The sequence below is a fragment of the Homo sapiens genome, chromosome 4, assembly GCF_000001405.40.
Source record: "Homo sapiens chromosome 4, GRCh38.p14 Primary Assembly".
NCBI classification, from domain to species: Eukaryota; Metazoa; Chordata; class Mammalia; order Primates; family Hominidae; genus Homo; species Homo sapiens.
In genome coordinates this window covers 73,504,802-73,529,256 of record NC_000004.12, presented here as the reverse complement: position 1 = coordinate 73,529,256, position 24,455 = coordinate 73,504,802, and the positions used below count along the sequence as shown (strand labels likewise).

The window sequence follows — 24,455 nt, the reverse complement described above, 5'->3', positions numbered from 1 at the left end:
TTCTTACAGAGAGACTTTGACAATCCTCCCATGAAGAGGTAAGGTGTATATACTGTCTCCTTCAAACTGATGATGTTTTACAGTGTTTCAACAAATAGAGCATGGCAGAAGTGACTTCTAAGGCTAGATCAGAAAAGCCAAGCAACTTGTGCTCTCTCCACTAGAGTACTCCTTTTTGAAGCCATCGGCCATGTGTAAGCAGTCCAACTGACCTCAGGCTACCAGGCTTTGGGAAGCCCAAACTAGCCTAGCAGCAAGATTACATAGAGAGGCCCTGAGATTGTATAAGAAGAAAAAAAGATGTCAGACCAGTGACCAGGTGCTTCAGTCCACCAGAGTCCCAGATCCAGACATTGTCTGACTGCACCCATATGAAAGATCATAAGCCAAACACCCAAATGAGCCTTTCCTGAATTCCTCACAATAAAGTGGTAGTTGTCATTTTAAGTCATTAATTTTGGGGTGTTTTGCTATGCAGCAATAGTAACTGAAACATTAAACATTTATTATGAAGTAATATCTATGCTAGATCATACTTCTCAAATTTTAATGACTATATGACTTGCCCGGTTATATTGTTAAAGTGAAGTCTGTTTAGTAGGTCTAGATGAGAGCTTCAGATTCTGCATTTGCAACAAGCTGCCAGGCGACACACATGCTGCTGGTCCACAGTCCACACTTTGCATAGCAAGTTGACATAGGAATAGCATTTCTTTATCTAGAGGCATTCTGTCTTCTTTTCTTCTTGGCAACATGACTAAACAGCTGTTTCATAGCAAGTAGACATGCCAGGAGAGTAAGTCTATACAAGAATGGATGACTTCTAGAGGTTTCATAACTGTACCTGTAATTTGACAAACACAAAGTTGTATAACTTGGAATTCAAGAACATATGCTGACACTGTTTCTTAAAAACCTGTGAGTCATTGTTTTGTTGACGTGAAACTTCTAGAATTTCATGACGATGAAGATGAGTTAGGACTATATTTACCTGCATTAAATGTTTACTATGAACAGATCACTGTGAGGTAGGTCAGACATTCCTTGAGTGCCCATGAAATGACCAACTGCACCTTCCAGGCTAGTAGGGGAAGAAAATCATTGATTTAAACCTTTCGTTTTTACAGAGGGGAATGGTAGGTAGAAAGTTGAATAGTCTAAGCTGAATTGTAAATGCAGGATTGTGCAGCTGGTGCAGAGGAATTAAATTTAGAAGTATTGGTGGGTGGAGAAGAGTTCTCAAGAACACCCAGAAGTTTTTTCTAGACTAGGAAAGGTAATGCCATTGTCCCCTAAGATGTGTCATTCAATGTCACTAAATCTTCAGTCTTTATTTCACCTCTCTATTAGAGATTCCTCATGCTCAGTATAATGCCTGGGCATCAGACCTGCCTTTCATCTGTAATTATATCTCCTACTAGTCTGCAAAACTTGTGCAAAACTTACCCCCCACAACACACATACATACCCAACAAAAGCTGACATCACAGACAGAAATTGGCTGAATGTTCACAAAAAATCTCTTTTCTCTTCCTATATACACAAGAAAACTACTTTTCCAATCTGCCTTGACACTGGCTTGGAAACATGTAACTGAGTTCTGACCAGTGAAATATGAATGAATGTGCTATGCACCACATCTAGGCTTGGCCATTAATTTATTTGCACAGTTCCCTACTCTCTCTCCTTCTGTTTCCCAGTGACACTGGACACAAATGCTCCAGATAGTGTAGCTTCAAGATGGAAACATCTTGGATTCCTGAGTTACTCCTTGTAGAATTATAAGGAGCTGAGCTGACCTAGACAGAGCTAAGCTGCCAGGTATCAGAGTAGCCAAGAAGCAAAAATGAAGCAAGAAGCAAAAATGAAAGTAACAGTGAAACCTTTAATCACTTACAGGGACAGGATAAGCAAGAGGTTAACCTGAAGAAAATGGTGACTCCTCCTGATCAATTTTTTTCCCATGGACCAGCACCAGTCAAGAATTAGCAGGACTAGCATAGACACGGTATCTGGCTCACTCCTAAAGGAGCTTCCAAAAAAAGGCTCTTGGGATTTTATGGACGCTGGAGCAAGGGGAAAGGAAAGGGGAAAGGTCTGGGAGTGGAAAAGTCCTAAATATTGAGTTAGGGTGGAGAAATGTTTCTTCAAGTTTGATTCTTCAGCTCTTTAATAAGGAGGTCTCAGCAGAGGCACCTGAGGAAGGCCTCAGCTGAAGGCCTCCTATAAAGAAGCCTCCAAATGGAGGCATCTCATCTAGGAATGGTGATATGTATAAGAGCAAAGTCAGCCAGGGAGCCTGAGTCCTCAACTGCAACCTCCTTCAAAGATTGCATTTGCCACACCAAGACTGGTGTGGGGAGGGCAGCTTTGTGACTGCCTATTGTTTGTCACAAAAAAAAAAAAAAAGAAAAATCACATGTTGATTTTAGCCAGGAGTTTTAGTCAGACTCCTTAAGAGTGGCCTAAGGGAACCATTCAACTTAGACTGTGATATGAGAAAGAAATAAATCCTTATTGAATTAAATCACTAGAACTTTGGAGTTTACTTGTTAGCACAGCATAGCCTAGTTTATCCTATTATAATATTGCCCTTAATGAAAGTTTAGGATGTAATGTCTACAAAGTAGGCCTGTCACTAGAAAAATGACCCTGGTTCTCAACGTAAAAGAGCTAATGGGGAAGTGATAGATAAAGAACAGAGAAATGGTTCATGTTTTTATATCTCCCTCCCACCCCAGTTTCTTAGATAACATACAAATCTCAATTCCCGCAGCTTATCTATCTTCCACTCTTCTTGGGATGCCAATAAGGATAAAACTGCAGCAGCCATTGAAGTCCAGTCAAATGACAAAACAATTGAAAAAGAAATTATATCTCATGACAAAAGGCCTAGCATATGCTTAAAATATTTGAATAGATGTCCCCCATTTACACAGAAACTGGAAAACTAAATTACGCTAAAGAATGTGGCTAGAGTTTCTGGATTCAGGAACTATATCTATATATGTAACCTTATCACAATAGTATTTCCTGATGCTCTCTGGAGACTAGAGCCAGATATAGAATAATGATGCTGTCATGAAAGATGACAGATATTGTAAGAAACCTGAAGTACTAACCAAAAAATCAGTAGAGACATTATCTAACAACCAATGAGTACAGAAATCTTGTGGTAACATTTCTTTATGTTTAAAAATAAGAAATCTTTTCTTCTTGGTGGATGATTGAGGTAGTGGCCGTTAAAGTTAATTATATCAAATATTTCCAGCTCCTCTTTTTCAAGGTAAATGGTAGGGCTGCATGTTCACATCTCCTTTGAAGTGAAGTATGACAATATAACTTGCTGTCATTAATGGTATATGAGTAGAAATGATGTGCTTACTGCTGAATAGAAGCTTAAGAGATAATGCATGATTTAGTATCATCCTCTCCCTCTGACACAGCGAGCATATGGCAGGTGTTGAGATAAGGTCTTCATTGCCCTGAGTCCCTTAGTGACTATGACAGCAGACCTCCTACCAATCTACATTAGACAGGTGGCATAAGTGAAAAAGAAATTTTGTTAGGCTAAGTAAATTAGAGATAATTTGCTACCATGCTATAACTTTGTTTATCCTAGGATTATTATTTTTGCTTTTAACAGACTTATAAAGGAAAAAATCATCTGCAAGTCATGGAAGGAGAAAACAGGTCAGACACTAGATCAGATATTAGCAGCTGGGCAACACTTAGAAAAGTAGGCACATGCTTTGCATGAAACCTCCTCTTCACTCTCACTAAGGCACCCCAAATTTTGCCTCTGAAAGTTCAGTAAAATGTTTGTATCAACAGAGTGCATAATGTTAAACTTTGGATCCAATAACCCTGGGCATAGCTCTTTCGAGCAGAAAACCTTTTAGTAAGTGTAAATTCCCACACACTATACAATGGCCAAATAGATTTGTCATTCTCTATTGTTCACTTTTCTATACATTTGTTCATTGTCATATAGTTGACAGTTACTAAAATAAACACAAAATGTTCAGGACAAGGTATTTTTAATGAGAACTATCTGCCAAGAAAGATAAGGTAGGTTATTCTCTGGGTGGGGGCAGAGGACCTATTCCCCCTACCCCTTACAGGAACACCAAATTTAACAACCATCTACACAAAAAAAGTATGTACTTTATAACAACCAAAAATCAGGTGAGCAATCACAGTTCCTCTAGTTAACCTCATATTACTGAAATAGGTACTGAAAAGGGCAGAATAAAACAGTCTTGAATTGCCATTGCCACTCCTTTCCTACCTTCCTAGCAGCGGCTGCATGGCACACAGAATCTGTATGCTGGGAAGGGAGAGTGTAATGATTGTGAGACTGCATTGAACTCAATGCTCCACTATCACAGTGGAAAGCAGAACCTTGCTGTACTTAGCTAATGCTTGCCCATGGAGAGAGCATTTGGACCAGCTAGGTACAGGGAAATTGCCCATCTTAGCAGTTGGAACTTGAGTTTCAGCAAGCCTTGCCACTTGGGGCTGAAGTGCTCTGGGGCCCCACATAAACTTGAAAGGCAGTCTAGGCCACAAAGACTGTGATTCCTAGGTGAGTCCTAGTGCTGAGCTGGGCTCAAAACCAGTGTACTGGGAGGCCCAAGGACTACCGAGACACCAGCCAGGACAGCTAAGAGAGTGTTTAGAGTGTTTGCCCTCCCCCAACCCCAGGCTGCACAGCTCACAGCTCCAAAAGAGACCCCTTCCTTCCAGGTGAGGAAAGGGAATGGTAAAGTGGACTTTGCCTTACATCTTGGATACCAGTTCATCTACAAAAGAATAGGGCACTGGTCAGAGTTACGAAGCCCCATTCCATGCCTTGGCTCCCGGAAACATTTCTAGACACACCCTGGGACCGAAGTTAACATGCTGCCTTAAAGAGAAGGACCCAGTCATGGCAGGACTCATCACCTGCTGACTAAAGAGGCCTTGGGCCCTGAATAACCAGCAATATTACCCAGGTAGTATGCCATTAGCCTTGGGTGAGACGGAAACTTGCTGGTTTCAGGAGAGGCACAGCACACTCCCAGCTGTGGTGGCTGTGGAGAGATGCCCCATTTGCTTGAGAAAAGCAGAGGAAAAAGTAAAGAGGACTTCATCTTGTACCTTAGGTACCAGTTTGGCCACAATAGAGTAGAAAACCAGGCAGGCTCTTAAGGTTCCTAATTACAAGCCTTTGCTCTTGGACAGCATTTCTGGACCTGCCCTGGGCCAGAGGGGAGCCTGGAAGAGTGAGTCCCAGGCTTGACAACATTCACCACAAGCTGACTGAAGAACCCCTGGGCTTTAAGTGAACATTGGTGGAATCGTGACAGGACTCTCCATGAGCCTGTGGTGGTGGTGGCCATAGGGTGAGGCTCCCTTGCCTATGAAAAGGGAAGGGAATAGTGAGAAGGACTGTGTTACATGGTTTGAAAGCCAGCTCAGCTCGGCAGCAGTACAATATAACACCAGGTAGATTTTAAAGGTTTTTTTACTCTACTCCTTGGCTTCTAGATGGCATTTCTGGACCCACCTGGGGCCTAGAGAGCTCACCACTCTAAAGGGAAAAAGATAAGGTTGTTTGGCTTCACCACCTGTGGATTGTACAGCCCCAGGGCCTTCAGTGAACAAAAGCTATAGCAAGGTGGTAGTTACAGTGAGCCTAAGGCAAAACCCAGTACCGTGCTCCCTTAAGGTCTAACCAGTGCAGTCCCAGCAGTGGTGGCCAAAGGGGTGTTTGTGTCACCCCACCTCAAGCTCCAAGTGTCTCAGCATAGAGAGAGAGACTCCATTTGTTTGGGAGAAAGTAAGGGAAGAGAGCAAGAGTCTCTGCCTGGTAATCCAGAGAATTCTTCTAGATCTATTCCAAAACCACAAAGTGGTACCTCTAAAAGTCAATAAGAACCACAGCATCACTGGGCTTATAGTGTCCCCTAATGAATATAAGACTTAGATCACAATACCCAAGTCCTTCCAAATACCTGGAAAGTGTTCCCAAGAAGGATGGGTACAAAGAAGCCTAGACTGCAAAGATTATAATAAATACCTAACTCTTCAATGGTCAGACGCAGATGAACATCTGCAAGCATCAACACCATCCAGGAAAACACGACTTCACCAAACAAACTAAATAAGGCACCAGGGAACAATCCTGGAGAAAGAGAGATATGTGATCATTCAAACAAATAATTTAAAATAGTTGTTTTGAGGAAACTCAAAGAAATTCAAGATAATAAAGAGGAGGAATTCCAAATTCTCTCAGATAAATGTAACAAAGAGATTGAAATAATTAAAAAGAATCTAGCTTCAGTACCATAAGACAGGGTGAAAAATAAGAGGCCAGACACGGTGGCTAATGCCTGTAATCCCAGGACTTTGGGAGGTCAAAGCAGGCAGATCACTTGAGGTCAAGAAATAAAAACCAGCCTGGCCAACATGGTGAAACACATCTCTACCAAAAAATACAAAAATTAGCCAGCCATGGTGGTGCACACCTGTAATCACAGCTATTCAGGAGGCTGAGGTGGGAGAATGGCTTGAACCCAGGAGGCAGAGGTTGCAGTTAGCCAAGATCATGCCACTGTGCTCCAGCCTGGGCAACAGAATGAGACCTTGTCTCAAAAAGTGAAAATAAAAGATTAAAAACAATCAACCAAGGCCCAGCACAGTGGCTCACGCCTGTAGTCCTAGTACTTTGGGAGGCTGAGACAGGCAGATCACTTGAGCCCAGGAGTTCAAGACCAACCAGGGCAACATGGCAAAACCCCATCTCTACCAAAAAAAAACAACAACAAAAAAAAAAACTAGTTAGGCATGATGGTATGTACCTATAGTCCCAGCTACTCGGGAGGTTGAGGTAGGAGGATGGCTTGAGCTTGGCAGGTGGAGGTTGCAATGAGCTGAGATCACACCGCTGCACTCTAGCCTGGGTGACAGAGGCAAGTCATGTCAAAAAAAAAAAAAAAATAGAATCAAGCAGAAATTCTGGAATTGGAAAATGCAAATGACATATTGAAGAATGCATCAGTCTTTTAATAGCAGAATTGATCAAGCAGAAGAAAGACTTAGTGGGCTTGAAGAGAGACTATTTGAAAATACACAGAGGAGACAAAAGAAAAAAAGAATTAGGAGGAAAGAAACATGTCTACAAGCTCTTAAAAAAAATAGCCTCAAAAGGGCAAATTTAAGAATCGTTGGCCTTAAAGAGAAGGTAGAGAAAGAGATAAAGGTAGAACATTTATTCAACAGGGTAATAACAGAGAACTTGCCAAACCTAGAGAAATACATCAATATCCATGCACAAGAAGGTTATAGAACACCAAGCAGATTTAATCCAAAGAATACTATGTCAAGGCATTTAATAATCAAACCCCCAAAGGCTAAGGATAAAGAAAGAATCCTTAAAGCACAAAAGAAAAAAAAAATGCCATACAATGGAGCTCTAATACATCTGGCAGCAGAGTTTTCAGTGGAAACCTTACAGGCCGGGAGAGAGTGGTACCACATATTTAAAATGCTGAAGGAAAAACAAACAAACAAACAAAAACAGTTACCCTAGAATAATATATTCAGTAAAAATATCCTTCAAACCTAAAGGAGAAATGAAGACTTTTCCATACAAACAAAAGCTGAAAAACTTAACACCAGACCTGTCCTACGTAAAATGCTAAAGGGAATATTTCAATCAGAAAGAAAAGGACATTAATGAGGAATAATAAATCATCTGAAAGTACAAACCTCACTGCTAATATTAAGTACACAGAAAAAAAACACAGCATATTATAATACTGTGATGCATAAATTATTCTTAAGTAGAAAGATTAAATGATGAACCAAACAAAAATAACTATAACAGATTAAGATGGTAGAAAGGAATCAGGACTAGCTTGCAGCTCCCACTCGGACAGAGAGAGCAGCATGTGGAGACTCACATTGTAAATTTTTGTTCCAAGAACTATTGCAGAAACATACCAGGAAAGCTGAGAGAATCCACAAACCCTTTAAAGGAACTGGATCACCCCTGCAGGCTCCCTGAGATACTGAAAAACTGTGAGTCGGCTTGCTTTCTCAACAGGGAGGCTCATACTCTCGGGCAAGTTTTCAGCCCTCGTCACTGGCTGCCTGGAAATAGACTTGGTGCTTTTGGGGGAGCATAGTGGGAGGGAGACCAGCCTTTAGGATTGCAGGCTGCATGGGAGTGAGATGAGGCCTGTGGTTGCTGGCTTTCCCTCACTTCCCTGGGGACCTGTATGACTCAGCAGAGGCAACCATAATCCCCCTGGGAATATAACTCCATTGGGCTGGGAACCACACCCCCATCCCCCACAGCCTAAGCAAGCTCAGCCCAATGACAGGCTGAATTCAGACAAACCTATCCCTGCCCCCACTCGATGGTCTTTCTCTGCCCTCCCTGGTATCCAAAAACAAATGTCATAATCTCTTGGGAGCTCTATGGCCCTGCCCACCACCTGAGAAACCTGAATACTTAACCAGGTGTCCTTAGGGCAAGTTTGCATCCTCCCTATTGGACTGCAGTTGATGCACTCTTGAAAATCTTCGCCAGAGCAGGTGCTGGTATTCATGGCTGCAAGACCTGAAGATGGATGATATTGCAGGACTCTTTGCAGACACTCCCCAATACCACCAGCCCAGAGCCGGTAGCTCTGCTGTGTGGCTAGACTGAGAAGAGCAAAAACAATCACTACCATTTAGCTCTCAAAAAGCTCCATTGCTACAGGAAGGAGGAGAACACCACATCAAGGGAGCAGCCTGTGGGACAAAAGAATCTGAACAGCAGCTCTTGAATCCCAGATCTTTCCTCTGACATAGTCTGCCCAAATGAGGAGAAACCAGAAAAACAATTCTGGTAATATGAGAAAACAAGGTTCTTCAACATCACCAAAAGATCACACTGGCTCACCAGCAATGGATCCAAACCAAGAAAAAAATTTCTGAATTGCCGTAAAAAGAAATCAGAGGGTTGATAAGCTAATCAAGGAGGCACCAGAGAAAGGTGAAGTCCAATTTAAAGAAATCAAAAACATAATACAGGATATGACAGGAAAATTCTTCCATTAAATACATAGCATAAATAAAAAACAATCACAACTTCTGGAAATTAGCAAAATTCACTGGAAAGTCTCAGCAATAGAATTGAACAAGCAGAAGAAAGAACTTCAGAGCTCAAAGACAAGGCTTTGGAATTAACCCAATCCATCAAAGACAATGAAAAAAGAATTTTTAAAAAATGAACAAAGCCTACAAGAAGTTTTTGACTATTGTAAACATCCAAACCTAAGAATAATTGGTGTTCTTGAGGAAGAAGAGAAATCTAAAATTTGGAAAACATATTTGATGGAATAATTGAGGAAAACTTCCCCAGCCTTGCTAGAGATCTAGATATCCAAATACAAGAAGCTCAAAGAACACCTAAAGTCATCACAAAAGCATCATTATCTAGGCACATAGTCAACAGGTTATCTAAAGTCAAGACAAAGAATCTTAAGAGTTGTGAGACAAAATCATCAGGTAACCTATAAAGGAAAACCTATTAGATCAACAACAGATTTCTCAGCAGAAACTCTACAAGATAGAAGGGATTGGGGTCCTATTTTTAGCTTCTTTAAACAAAATAATTATCAGCCAAAAATTTTGTATCCAACCAAACTAGGCTTCATAAATGAAGGAAAAATACAGTCTTTCCCAGAAAAACAAATGCCCACCAGAACTGCTAAAAGGAGATCTAAATCTTGAAATAAATCCTCAAAATACACCAAAATAGAACATCCTTAAAACATAAATCTCACAGGACCTTAATAACAATAACATAATGAAAAGAAAACAAGGTATTCAGGCAACAAATAGCACAATGAATAGAATAATACCTCATATCTCAATACTAACATTGAATGAAAATGTCCTAAATGCTCCACTTAAAAGATACGGAATGGCAGAATGGATAAGAGTTCACAAACCAAGTTTTTGCTATCTTCAGGAAACTCAACTAACACATAAGGACTCACAAAAACAAAGTAAACAGGTAGAAAAAGATATTCCATCCAAATGGACACCAAAAGTGAGCAGGAGTAGCTTTCTTAGACAAATTTTAAAGCAACAGCAGTTAAAAAAGACAGAGGGATGTTACATAATGACAAAAGAACTAGTCCAACAGGAAAATATCACAATTCTAAATACATGTGCACCTAACTCTGGAGCTTTCAATATAAAACAGTTACTTCTAGAAATAAGAAATGAGATAGTGGATTCCATTCCAAGATGGCCAAATAGGAACAGCTTCAGTCAGCAGCTCCCAGCGTGATCGACACAGAAGACAGGTGATCTCTGCATTTCCAACTGAGGTACCTTGTTCATCTCACTGGGACTGGTTGGACAGTGGGTGCAGCCCACAGAGGGTGAGCCAAAGTAGGATGGGGCATCGCCTCACTTGGGAAGCTCAAGGGGTCAGGGGATTTCCCTTTCCTAGCCAAGGGAAGCTGTGATAGACTGTACATGGAAAAATGGGACACTCCTGCCCAAATACTGCCCTTTTCCAATGGTCTTAGCAGCCAGGAGACAAGGAGATTCTCTCCCACGCCTGGCTCAGTGGGTCCCACACTGACGGAGCCTTGCTCACTGCTAGTGCAGCAGTCTGAGATCGACCTGCAAGGTTACAGCCTGGTGAGGGGAGGGGCATCTGCCATTACTGAGGCTTAAATAGGTAAACAAAGCAGTCAGGAAGTTCAAACTGGGCAGAACCCACCACAGCTCAGCAAGGCCTACTGCCTCTATAGACTCCACCTCTGTGGGCAGAGCATAGCTGAAAAAAAGCCAGCAGAAACTTCTGCAGACTTAAACATCCCTATCTGACAGCTCTGAAGTGAGCAGTGGTTCTCCCAACATGGTGTTTGAGCTCTGAGAATGGACAGATTGCCTCCTCAAGTGGGTCCCTGACCCCCATGTAGCCTAACTAGGAGACACTTACCAGTAGGTGCCAACAGATGCCTCATACAGGCAGGTGCCCCTCTAGGACGAAGTTGCCAGAGGAAGGAGCAGGCAGCAATATTTGCTGTTCTGCAGCCTCTACTGCTGATACCCAGGAAAACAGGGTCTGCAGTGGACCTCCAGCAAACTCCAACAGACCTGCACCTGAGGGAACTGACTGTTAGAAGGAAAACTGAAAACAGAAAGGAATAGCATCAACATCAACAAAAAGGACATCCACACCAAAACCCCATCTGTAGTCACCAACATCAAAGACCAAAGGTAGATATAACCACAAAGATGGGGAGAAACCAAAGCAGAAAAGCTGAAAATTCTAAAAACGGGAGCACCTCTTCTCCTTCAAAGGATCATAGCTCCTCACCAGCAACAGAACAAAGCTGGACAGAAAATGACTTTGATGAGTTGACAGAAGTAGGCTTCAGAAGGTCAGTAATAACAAACTTCTCCGAGCTAAAGGAGCATGTTCTAACCCATCGCAAGGAAGGTAAAAACCTTGATAAGAGGTTAGACAAATTGCTAAGTAGAATAAAGTGTAGAGAAGACCTAAAAGGACCTGACGGAGCTGAAAACCATGGCACAAGAACTTCGTGATGAATGCACAAGCTTCAATAGCTGATTCAATCAAGTGGAAGAAAGGATATCAGTGATTGAAGATCAAATTAATGAAATAAAGCAAGAAGACAAGTTTAGAGAAAAAAGAGTAAAAAGAAAAAAACAAAGCCTCCAAGAAATATGGGACTATGTAAAAATACCAAATGTATGTTTGATTGGTGTACCTGAAAGTGACAGGGAGAATGGAACCAAGTTGGAAAACACTCTTCAGGATGTTATCCAGGAAAACTTCCCCAATCTAGCAAGGCAGGCCAACATTCAAATTCAGGAAATACAGAGAACACCAAAAAGATACTCCTCAAGAAGAGCAACCCCAAGACACATGATTGTCAGATTCAACAAGGTTGAAATGAAGGAAAAAATGTTAAGGGCAGTCAGAGAGAAAAGTTGGGTTACCCACAAAGGAAAGCCCATGAGACTCACAGTGGATCCCTCAGCAGAAACTCTACAAGTCAGAAGAGAGCAGGGGCCAATATTCAACATTCTTAAAGAAAAGAATTTTCAACCCAGAGTTTCATATCCAGTCGAACTAAGATTCAAAGTGAAGGAGAAATAAAATCCTTTCTACAGAAGCAAATGCTGAGAGATTTTGTCACCACCAGGCCTGCCTTACAAGAGCTCCTGAAGAAAGCACTATACAGGGAAAGGAACAACCGGTACCAGCCATCACAAAAACATGAGAAACTGTAAAGACCATTGATGCCATGAAGAAACTGCACCAATTAATGGGCAAAATAACCAGTTAACATCATAATGACAGGATCAAATTCACATGTAAGACTATTAACCTTAAATGTAAATCAGCTAAACACCCTAATTAAGAGACACAGGCTGACAAATTGGATAAAGAATCAAGACCCATCAGTGTGCTGTATTCAGGAGACCCATCTCATGTGCAGAGACACAAACAGTCTCAAAATAAAGGGATGAAGGAATATCTACCAAGCAAATAGAAAGCAAAGAAAAAAGCAGTGGTTGAAATCCTAGTCTCTGATAAAACAGACTTTAAACCAAAAAAGATCAAAAGAGACAAAGAAGGCCATTATATAATGGTAAAGGAATCAATGGAACAAGAAGAACTAACTATCCCAATATATATGCACCCAATACAGGAGCACCCAGATTCATAAAGCAAGTCCTTAGAGACCTACAAAGAGACTTAGACTCCCATACAATAATAATGGGAGACTTTAACTCCCCACTGTCTAATATTAGACAGATCAATGAGACAGAAGGTTTACAAGGATATCCAGCACTTGAACTCACCTCTGCACCAAGCAGATCTAATAGACATCTACAGAACTCTCCACCCCAAATCAAGAGACTATACATTCTTCTCAGCACCACATTGCACTTATTCTAAAATTGACCGCATAATTGGAAGTAAAATACTCCTCAGCAAATGTAAAAGAACAGAAATCACAACAAACTGTCTCTCAGACTACACTGCAATCAAATTAGAACTCGGGGTTAAGAAACTCACTCAAAACCACTCAACTACATGGAAACTGAACAACTTGTTCCTGAATGACTGCTGGGTAAATAATGAAATTAAGGCAGAAATAAAGATGTTTTTTGAAACCAGTGAGAATGAAGACACAACCTACAAGAATCTCTGGGACACATTTAAAGCAGTGTGTAGAGGGAAATTTATAGCACTAAATGCCCACAAGAGAAAGCAGGAAAGATCCAAAATTGACACCCTAACATCACAATTAAAAGAACTAGAGAAGAAAGAGCAAACGCATTCAAAAGCTAGCAGAAGGCAAGAAATAACTAAAATCAGAGCAGAACTGAAGGAGATAGAGATACGAAAAACCCTTCAAAAAATCAATGAATCCAGGAGCTGGTTTTTTGAAAAGATCAACAAAATTGATAGACCACTAGCAAGACTAATAAAGAAAAAAAGACAGAAGAATCAAATAGACTCAATAAGAAATGATAAACGGGATATCACCACCAATCCCACAGAAATACAAACTACCATCAGAGAATACTATAAACACCATTACACAAATAAACTAGAAAATCTAGAAGAAATGGATAAATTCCTGGACACATACACTCTCCCAAGACTAAACCAGGAAGAAGTTGAATCTCTGAATAGACCAATAACAGGCTCTGAAATTCAAGCAATAATTAACAGCCTACGAACCAAAAAAAGTCCAGGACCAGACGGATTCATAGCCAAATTCTACCAGAGGTAAAAAGAGGAGCTGGTACCATTCCTTCTGAAACTATTCCAATCAATAGAAAAAGAAGGAATCCTCATTAAATCATTTTATGAGGCCAGCATCATCCTGATACCAAAGCCTGGCAGAGACACAGCAAACAAAAAAAGAGAATTTTAGACCAATATCCCTGATGAACATCTAGAAAACCTAGATGAGATGGATAAATTTCTGGTAATATGCAACCCTCCTAGATTAAACCAGGAAGATGTAGAATCTCCGAACAGACCAATAACAAGCAGTGAGACTTAAATGGTAATTTTAAAAATTGCCAACAAAAAAAATGTCCAAGACCAGACAGATTCACAACTGAGTTTTATCAGACATTCAAAGAAGAATTGGTACCAATTTTATTGACACCATTCCAAAAGATAAAGAAAGAGAGAATCGTCCCTAAATCTTTCTATGAAGCTAGTATCCCCCAGATACCAAAACCAGGAAAAGACATAACAAAAAAAGAAAACTGAAGACCAATATCCCTGATGAACATAGACACAAAAATCCTCAACAAAATAGTAGCAAACCAAATCCAACAGCATATCAAAAAATAATCCACCATGATCAAGTAGGTTTCATACCAGGGATGCAGGGGTGGTTTAATATACATAAGTCAATAAATGTGATACACAACATGAACAGAATTAAAAACAAAAAATCACACGATCATATTAATAGATGCAGAAAAAGCATTTGACAAAATTCAGCATCCCTTTATGATTAAAAGCCTCAGAAAAATTAGCACAGAAGGGACATACGTTAAGGTAATAAAAGACATTTATGACAAACCCACCGCCAATATTCTACTGAATTGGGAAAAGTTTAAAGCATTCCCCTTGAGAACTAGAACGAGACACGGATGCCCACTTTCATCACTTCTATTCAACATAATACTGAAAGTCCTAGCCAGACAAGAGAAAGAAATAAAAGGTATCCAACTTGGTAAAGAAGTCAAACTGTCACTGTTTGCTGATGATATGATCACATATTTAGTACTTAGATCACATACTTAAAACCCTAAAGACTCATTCAAAAAGTTCCTAGAACTGGTAAATGAACTTCAGCATAGTTTTAGGGTACAAAATTAATGTGCACAAATCAGTAAGCTCTGCTATACACCAACAGCAGCCAAGCTGAGAATCAAATCAAGAATTCAACCCCTTTCAGAATAGCTGCGAAATAAAAATAAAATACTTAAGAATACACCTAACCAAGGACATGAAAGACCTCTACAAGGAAAACTACAAAACGCTGCTGAAAGAAACCATAGATGATACCAACAAATGAAAACACAGTCCATGCTCATGGATGGGTAAAATCAATATTGTGAAAATGACCATACTGCCCAAAGCGATCTACAAATTCAATGCAATTCCCATCAAAATACCACCATCATTGTTCACAAAAAGTTAAGAAGTGGAGAGACAAGTTAAGGTGTAGTTTTTATTAGGTTTCTTTTTGCTTGTTTGTTCATTTGTTTATTGAATCAGTGTTAAGTTATCGTCAGCCTAAAATAATGGATTATAAGATAGTATTTGCAAGCCTCATGGTAACCTCAGGTCAAAAAACATGTAGCAGATAAACAAAAAATTAAAAGCAAGGAATTAAATCATACCACCAGAGAAAATCACCTTCACTAGAAGGAAGACAGGAAAGAACTATATGGCAATAAATATTTTATACATAAAATAAAATACCTAGGAATTAACTGAAAAAAATGAGAGATCTTTACAATGAAACAGAAATAAGAATCCTAAAATTTACATGGGACCACAAAAGACCCATAGTAGCCAAAGTTATGCTGGCCAAAAAGAACAAAGCTGGAGGAATCACATTACCTGTCTTCAAATTATACTACAGAGATATAGTAACAAAAATGACATGATACCTGCATAACTGGTGTATGGTCTATGACATATAGACCAGTGAAACAGAATAGAGAACCCAGAAATGAATCCATACTTTACACTGAACTCATTTTTGACAAAGGTGCCAAGAACATACACTGGGGAAAGGACAGTCTCTTCAATAAATGGGAAAATTAAACATCCATATGCAGAAGAATGACACTAGACCTCCTAGCTATGGCAAAATACAAAAGTCAATTTAAAATGGATTAAATATTTAAATCTAAGACTTCAAGCTATGAAACTACTACAAGAAAAAAGTGAGTAATCTCTTCAGAACATTGGAGTGGGTAAAGATTTCTTGACTAATACCTCACAACCACAGGTAACCAAAGCAAAAATGGACAAATGGGATCACTTCAAATTAAAAAGCTTCCTCACGGCAAAGAAACAATCAACAAAGTGAAGAGACAACCCACAGAACGGCAGAAAATATTTGCAAACTACCCATCTGACAAGGGATTAATAACCAGAATATGTAATAAGCTCAAACAACTCTATTGGGAAAAATCTAACAATCTGATTTAAAATTGGCAAAAGATCTGAATAGACATTTCTCAAAAGAAGACACACAAATGGCAAACAGGTATAGGAAAAGATGCTCAATGTCACTGATCATCAGAGAAATGAAAATCAAAATTACAATGAGACATAATCTCACTTCAGTTTAAATGGCTTTTATCCAACAGACAGGCAATAACAAATGCTGGTGATGAAATGGAGAAAGGGGAATCCTTGTACACTGTTGGTGGGAATTTAAATTAGTATAACCACTATGGAGAACAGTTTGGAGCTTCCTCAAAAAAGTAAAAATAGAGCTACTATAGGATCCAGCTATCCCATTGCTAGTTATATACCCAAAAGAAAGGAAATCAGAATATTGAAGAGGCATTTGCACTCTCATGTTTAGTGCAGCACTATTAGTAGGCAAGATTTGGAAGAAACCTAAGTGTCCATCAACATATGAATGGATAAAGAAAATGTGGTACGTATACACAATTGAGTACTAGTTAGCCTTAATAAAGAATGAGATCCAGTCATTTGCAACAACACAGATGGAACTGGAGATCAGTATGTTAAGTGAAATAAGACAAGCACAGAAAGACAAACATTGCATGTTCTCATTTATCTCTGGGAGCTAAAAATTAAACAATTGAATTCATGGAGATAGAGAGGAGATAGAGAGTAGAGGGATGGTTGCCATGCCAGAGGCTGGGAGGAATAGTGAGGGTGGGAGGGGGCAGGAAGTGGAGATGATTAATATATACCAAGAAATAGTTGGAAAGAATAAGACCCAGTATTTGCTAGCACTACAGCGTGACTATAATTTTAAAAAAAACTATGCATTTAAATTAGCTAAAAATTTATAATCTGATTGTTTGAAACTCAAAGGATAAATGCATGAGGTTATGGATACCCCATTTGCCCTGATGCGATTATTGTGCATTGCATGCCTGTATCAAAATATATCATGTAACTCATAAACATATACACCTACTATGTACCCATAAGAATTAAAAAATTTTGAAAAGAGATATACAATAGTTTGCTTTCCTTATTTCCTATTTTTTGTTTGGTTTCTGTGAGAACTTGCCTTAAGAATTGAACTCTGAGACAATGCGTATTCAGTGTCAAATATCCAAATGAAAATTTAATAATTCAGTTAGTTTTCAAATATCTTTCAGTAGCAGTAAATATATGAGATTCTGTAAACCTCAGATGGCATGTGTTTTCAGATTTAGAGGGTAAGGGCAAACAATCATCATCTTTTGAAGCAGAAGCAAGTCAGAATTACTATAAAATAAGTAGGACTAGTCAAAGGCAGAAGTGCTTCATTTGAAATGTGTTTCTAATGAGACATGATTTTTTTTTTTTTGAGGTGGAATTTTGCTCTTATTGCCCAGGCTGGAGTGCAGTGGCACAATCTCAGCTTACCGCAACCTCTGCCTTCCCGGGTTCAAGCGATTCTCCCTCCTCAGCCTTCTGAGTAGCTGGGATTACAGGCATGCGCCACCACGCCCGGCTAATTTTTTCTTTTTTTTTTTTGTAGAGACAGGGTTTCTTCATGTTGGTCAGGCCGGTCTCAAACTCCCAACCTCAGGTGATCCGCCCACCTCAGCCTCCCAAAGTGCTGGAATTGCCGGCGTGAGCCACCGCACCCAGTGAGACATGATTTTTCTATGTCTACTCAGAGTCTAATAAAAGATAGGTAGGATTTAGCCCCAAGAAGATGAAGTTTAAAAATCTATAAACAAAGAATAAAATCATTCATTTACATTTTAAATTATTTAGCATGAGGATAATGGATCCAAAAAATATGTGGATTATAAGAATAGGTCAGTATTTATCAAGAATTTTCAAGTAGAATCACTATTTTCATGGGATTTGCTAATCACAAAATAGATACATTTTATAATGAGGCAATAATAACGCCAAAGATTTTCTACTTACTGGGAAAAGGATCCCATCATATATTTACTGTTTTTTTTCTTTTTCATATTTTCTCAGAAAATTTTTAAAATTAATACTTCAGTTTCCCAGGATTCATTATATGAGAATGTCAGACAATAGCATTCTGTGACAGAGGCACAAAATGTAAATTCTGTGTAACCAAATGTAACCAATGTAAATCAACCAATTAGTATTCTAGGTTATAATTCATTTTCTTGAGTGTTGGTTCTCAGATCCTGGTGTCCTAGGAATGAACTGATAAAATGTAGGTTTAGATTCAGGTGTGGTTGTTCACACCTGTAATCCTAGCAACTCAGGATGCTGAGGCAGAAGGATTGCCTGGGGACAGGAGTTTGGGACCAACCTGGGCAACATAGCAAGATCCCATCTGTAAAAAAAAAATAAAAGTCGGGTATGGCAGTGGACACCTGTAGTCCTAGCTACTTGGGAGGCTGAGGCAGGAGGATTGCTTGAGTCAGGAATTGGAGGCTGTCAAGAGCCATGATTGCATTACCAGCAATACCATAACTCAAAAAAAAAAGTTTATAAACCTACAACAAATACATCTAGGATATGACTCATCTACATATCTTTGTCTTATAAGCCCTTGCCTAATTATTCAAGCCCCTTCATAAAAACATCTTTTGGTTGCAATAGAGTTTAAAAAGAGAAAACAGGAGAACATAATTCACCTACCAATTGGTGAGTGCATTCTGAAGGTAACCATGTGACTTAAAGGTCCTGTGCTTCTCATTGAAATCTCTCAACTTTCTAACTGTGGTTTGTACTTCTCCATGAGTTGCTTTCTGAAGAAACTGAGCAACCATAATGTTGGAGCTGAAACATAATATTTATGTTAAAGATAGCCTCAAGCCCTTTTCTTCCATTGTTTTTTGTTATATCATTGCTCCATTCCCTCCAAAAACAATTAATGTTATTTCAAATTTCAGACAAAACAATAGTGATAATAAAACTCACATGTCTCTTACATTCTGCCCGGGTAATTCTGGCTATTAATATACTGTATGGCTGAATAAATGAGATTTTATTTGCTGCTGTGCTGCCTGAATGCTTGTGTCCCCTAAAATTCATACATTGAAAATCTAACCCCAAGGTGATAGTGTTAGTAGGTGGTGCCTTTGGGGAGGTGATTAGGTGATGAGGTTGGAGTCTTCATGACTGCAACTATTGCCCTTATAAAAGAAGCCCAAGGGAGCTGGTTTACTTTTTTCACCATGTTAAGACACCTCAGTAGGCACCTTCTATGGACCAGAATGTAGAGCCATCCCAGATTCCGAATATAAGGATGCTTACCAGATACCAAATCTGCCAGTGCCTTGATCTTGGAGGTCCCAGCCTCCAGAGCTGTGAAAAATAAATTTTTGTTGTTTAAAAGCTATCCAGTTTATGGTATTTTGTTATAGAATTCAGATGGAGTGAGATATTTGCATAAAAGAAAATTTTCCAAATTGAAATCCCTCTTTACAATTCTACAACCTATATTTGTTCTCTCATAAATTTCTAGATGTATTTTTATTTACTGTAAGTTAAGCAAATTCTCGGAATATGTCTTCACTTGTATTTAAACTGTATTCTGTGAATGACTTATATTCAAATATGTTGTGTAGGTGAAATCTATCATTGTTCTACAAATAAGCTGCATGTACTTCTGTTAACACTTCTGAATTAAACTTAATATTTCAGTTATTTAACTCTTTATATTAGAAGTTACTAGCACACCGAAAATTAAGGTTTAGCATTGGATATAAAAGTATAAACATTAATACCTTGCCAGGCTTAATTCGGCAAAGTCGGTGTTTCACACATCTTGGATCACCTCCATCTTCTTCATCATCTCCACTCACCAAAATCACATGCATATGTTCTCTATTGATAACAGTGTCATTTTTCCTATAATAATAGCTCCCAAAGAGCTTAGCAGTTGTTAAATAAACAAACCATTATCATTTACTATATTAAAATAAGAAAAGGTTTCAGAAACAGCTATTCTGAGTTCAACTTCTAGCTCTGGTACTTACTATGGTCTTGGGAAAATAACTTAAGTTCTCTGAGTTTCTGTTTCTCTGGCAATAAAATTTAAATAAGTTCTACTATATTGGGTGGTAGTTAAGATTACATGAAAGCATATATGGGCTGGGCATGATGACTCATGCCTGTAATCCCGGCACTTTAGGGTGCCAATGCAGGAGGCCAGGATGCCAAGACTTGAGGCCAGGAGTTTCAGACCAGCCTGGGCAATATAGTTAGACCTCATCTCTACAAAAAAATGAAAAACTACTCAGGTACAGGGTTAGGCCGCTGTAGTCCTACCTACTCAGGAGGTTAAGGCAGGAGGATCACTTGAGCCCAGGACGTCAAGGTGGTATGAATGATCATACCACTGCATTCTAGCCTGGATAACAGAGCAAGACCCTGTTTCTAAAAATAAAATTTAAAAATAAGAAAACAAAATAAGAAAGCATATGTGTGAAGTACTGAGCACAGGGCCTGGCACATAACAGGTACTGAATAATTTAGCTCATAATATTATTTCTGCTATTATTCAAAGTATTGCTTTGTCTGAAACTGCTTATCCAATTCTAAACGTAAGTTTAAAATAGAACATTCTCTTACCTAGAGTGGAAGTGAGGCTAAAGTGGAATATTCCTGTGTGTGTTGCTTCAATATATCAGCTCTCTCTGTATATTCATTCCACAAATTAATGTCTTGCAATTTTCAATGATTCTATTTACAGTAATGACCTCTGAAAAAGATAAGCCTTCTCATGTACACTGTAGTAGTCATTGTGGCTTACTTATCTTATCCTTATACCTGGAATATGTAAATTGTAAATAGGATTTTCCACCCGCATCTAGTAAACTTCTCTAACGAGATTGACATTTAATGTAGCTGAAGAAAACAAGAAAAGATGTGGGTTTAGCAGTCTTCATTACTTCGTGAGAACCTTTATGGAAAGTGTTCTATCATTTGAGAGAAATGAAGAACTTTATATTCTTTCCAAGTAATTACTATTAAAAAGAAACCTTTTTCTGGTGAATATTTTTTCCAAGCAACTATGGCCCTGATAAAACTGAGGAAATCTATGACAATGAAGAAATATTGCTGATGGATTGAATTCATTAATGAATACTGCATTTTTAAACAAGTCATGTCAATCTGCTTGTTTCTTTAAGATTTCAACATGCAAACTTTATAATTAAGTAATCCATAAACACTCTTGGCAAATGTTGGTCTGCAATACCTCATTTCTTAGAAATGATTGTTGACATGTCCAAAGTTCTAAAGTGGAAGGGAAGAAGATAAACATATACTACCACAGATTGACTAAATGGTCAGGGCTCAGGTTCTAATGCTGGGTACATTTTCAAGTCCCTGGGGAGAAGGGGAGTTAGGAGCTGTACAAGCATTGGGAGTGAACCTAAAAGAATGGGACCTAATTTATCAAACACTTACTATGGTCACTTTATATGACTCTCAGATAGTTAGCAATATTAGTATGTCTTGAATGAGAAATTAAGACTCAGAGTCAAGTAATTTGTTCATAGACTCACAGGTAAAAATTCATGTCTGTCTGACTTTACAGCCCACACATCCAAGAGCTAGTGTTAAGGCTGAGACACCAATATCCCTCAGCTATTGTCTGCTTTGCCTATCAACCAATTCTTGGGTCTAAGGCAGCAAACAGGTAATTAGTTACTAAATAACAATTGTAAGATGTCTATACATGTAAAGTCTAAAATTTTGAAAATGGGAGATCATGGGTTATTACTTTATTCTCTTCTCAATTTCCTCATTTTTAAATGGAAGGTTTGGATCAAATAAGCTCTAAGGCTGACAGTATCTTACTTAATTCTGCTACTCACATATTCTCAATACCATTTTTCTAAGCAAAAATATATCACAAGTGAGAGAGACATATTTGCCTGAAAAACAAGCCCAAAACATCTGTCATTATTTAGTTTTGGGACACATAGGCTTGTCATAAAGAATATGAAGGATGCTAGAGAGCCCACCAAGGTCAGCAAGGGGAAGACTATCTTTGGCAGGTCTCCATCATCCATTTTGAGGTCCTCTAAACAGTCTTAACATTCATTGTCTCTTTTGTCATGTATCCTTAGTGCTGTTCCCTTGAAATCTTACTCTAAACTTCTTAGAACTATCAAAAATGTACCTATTAAACTAAGTCCAATCTTTTGTCAAATCCTTTGGAAGAATGCTCCAAGACTGTTACCCACCGCAGACACTGCTATCTGATCACTGCACTCTTTCTCTCTGAGCTTATGCTCAGTCTTAGAAACACTCACAGCACAAAGCTGCAGGACAGCCACTATCAGTTGATTGGAGTTAACACTAAAAATTTTTTAACAACTGTTATGTGTGCTAAGCTAATTCCTCCTTAAAAAAATAACTGACCAAAATTAACATTCCTTGGGAACCCTTCTTCAGAGACATTTGCAATTAATAAGAGATTCTTGACAACATTTAAAATGTTAAATCCTTATCAGTAACTAGTGGTAGAATTCCAGACCACAGGAAAGAAAAGTAGCAAGGATTATTTAAGTAAAGGCAATGAGATAGGTTTTGTGATATCAATCAATAGACACCAGCACAGAATTGGCTCTAGAAGAAAATAAGCTCTTCAGGCTAGCCTTTAAGATAAAATATGGAAGGTATGCAAGTACAAGATGCAGTGATGATGTTTAATAAATACTATTTTCATAGAAAACTTAATTCTTGCCCAGGTCATAGAAATAGAGTTCAAAGAGGCCTTAGAAAGACCATGACTGGATGCCACCAAAAACCCAGGTGGTAGCTGCTCACACACATGCAGTCTTGGCATTGAGTATTGCAGCAGGAGGCTTATCACATGTATAAGCATCTCTAGTGTTAGAAAATTTTTTTCTGCATCAAACCAGATATGTTCTATTCATTGGTATGAGTTCTGTCCAAGTAATACAGAGTAAGACTAATTCATGCCCACTCCAAATCTCCTCCTTTTCAGGCAACTGTGTCTTTTGCAGAAGCCATTCTTCTCCCTCCTTTCCTGCTTTGATCAATGTGTGTTCTGGCATGGCAGTAGAGAAAGAGTTGTATGGCAGTTTCCATTGCCATGATAGAAACTTTATGATGGCGGCAAGTGCCTGGGTCCCTGATTTTGTATCTGCTTCTCTTAGCACAGTATTGAATACATAGCAGAATCCAGTATAAAATTAAGTTCACTAATTATGCTTTGTTTCACTTCCGTTTTCTAAATCTACTATCTATTGTTTAAGTAAAGCAATACTTCCTTCTTATCCTCATTGGTAAATGAGAGTGCTTGGAGAAAGTGGTTAGAGGACAAAATAACTTTATGACTTACACACCTGTTATCTGCTGGCCAATGTATTAAGTACTTTATATAGTAATTTAATTCTTTTCTCTAAAGCCTTTGTGACTTGATATTAGCCCATCCTACACAAAGAAATTGATGTCATAGAGTATAAGGAACTTATCTGGGGCTGTACAGTAAATTAATGGCAGTAGGGATATAAAGCACCCGCTGCCATCCCTTTCTCACTCTGCACCTTCAGCTTAGAGTGAGTGCCTGGACCCTGCACGTATGACATTGAAACGTGATTGCATGTTTACTGTCCCTCTCCCCTGCTTAGCAAGAAACAGGAACCAATTCTGTCTCATATTTGTATCCACAATGTCTGACACACAATAGAATTCTAATAAATACTTGTTGAATAAATCAATGAGAATCCCAAAGACTATGCTCTAAACACTCTACCAAAATAACTCTATGAATAGCCTCATGTATTATCTATTAAATGGCCAACATCTTCAAATGTAAACATTGGCATACAAAAATCTTCAAAGTTTAGAGAACCACCAGGAAAGCCAGGCCATGAGTCCATAACCAGTCTTCATTTCCTGAGTTACTTCTCCTTTGATATCAATATCAAGCATTTATATCACTAACACAACAGCAATTCTGGCTTGGAATGGAGGGCGAGAACCACCACTGTCATTGTTGCCTTGTACAATCATTCCACCTCTCTGAATAACAGATTTTGTAAGGCATGCAACATGGCCATACCTAAGAGGTAGTGTATGCAATGGTTAACAATATTGTTCCACAAAGCTGGAGGCATCACATTACCCAACTTCAAACTTCAAACCAAATACCGTGGGAGCTAAACATTGAGTACATGGACATAAAGACAGGAACGAT

The 24,455-nt window shown here is 38.9% G+C and overlaps 1 long non-coding RNA gene across 1 annotated transcript, besides 1 other annotated feature; it reads right to left on the bottom strand.

Annotated features, from left to right (window-relative positions):
- Nucleotides 1-723: 723 nt before the first annotated feature.
- On the bottom strand, nucleotides 724-20,454 carry LINC02499 (long intergenic non-protein coding RNA 2499). The gene is made up of 4 exons (NR_046377.1): nucleotides 20,005-20,454; nucleotides 19,532-19,582; nucleotides 18,914-19,054; nucleotides 724-844 (listed from the first exon to the last, which is right to left on the bottom strand). It is a non-coding gene; the product is annotated as a long intergenic non-protein coding RNA 2499 (long non-coding RNA).
- Nucleotides 8,111-8,405: an enhancer, noted in NCBI's record as "tiled region #8651; HepG2 Activating non-DNase unmatched - State 23:Low, and K562 Activating non-DNase unmatched - State 24:Quies". NCBI's record gives its function as "activates a minimal TATA promoter and a strong SV40 promoter by Sharpr-MPRA in HepG2 and K562 cells {active_cell/tissue: HepG2 | K562}" and the evidence as "EXISTENCE:reporter gene assay evidence [ECO:0000049][PMID:27701403]".
- Nucleotides 20,455-24,455: the final 4,001 nt, after the last annotated feature.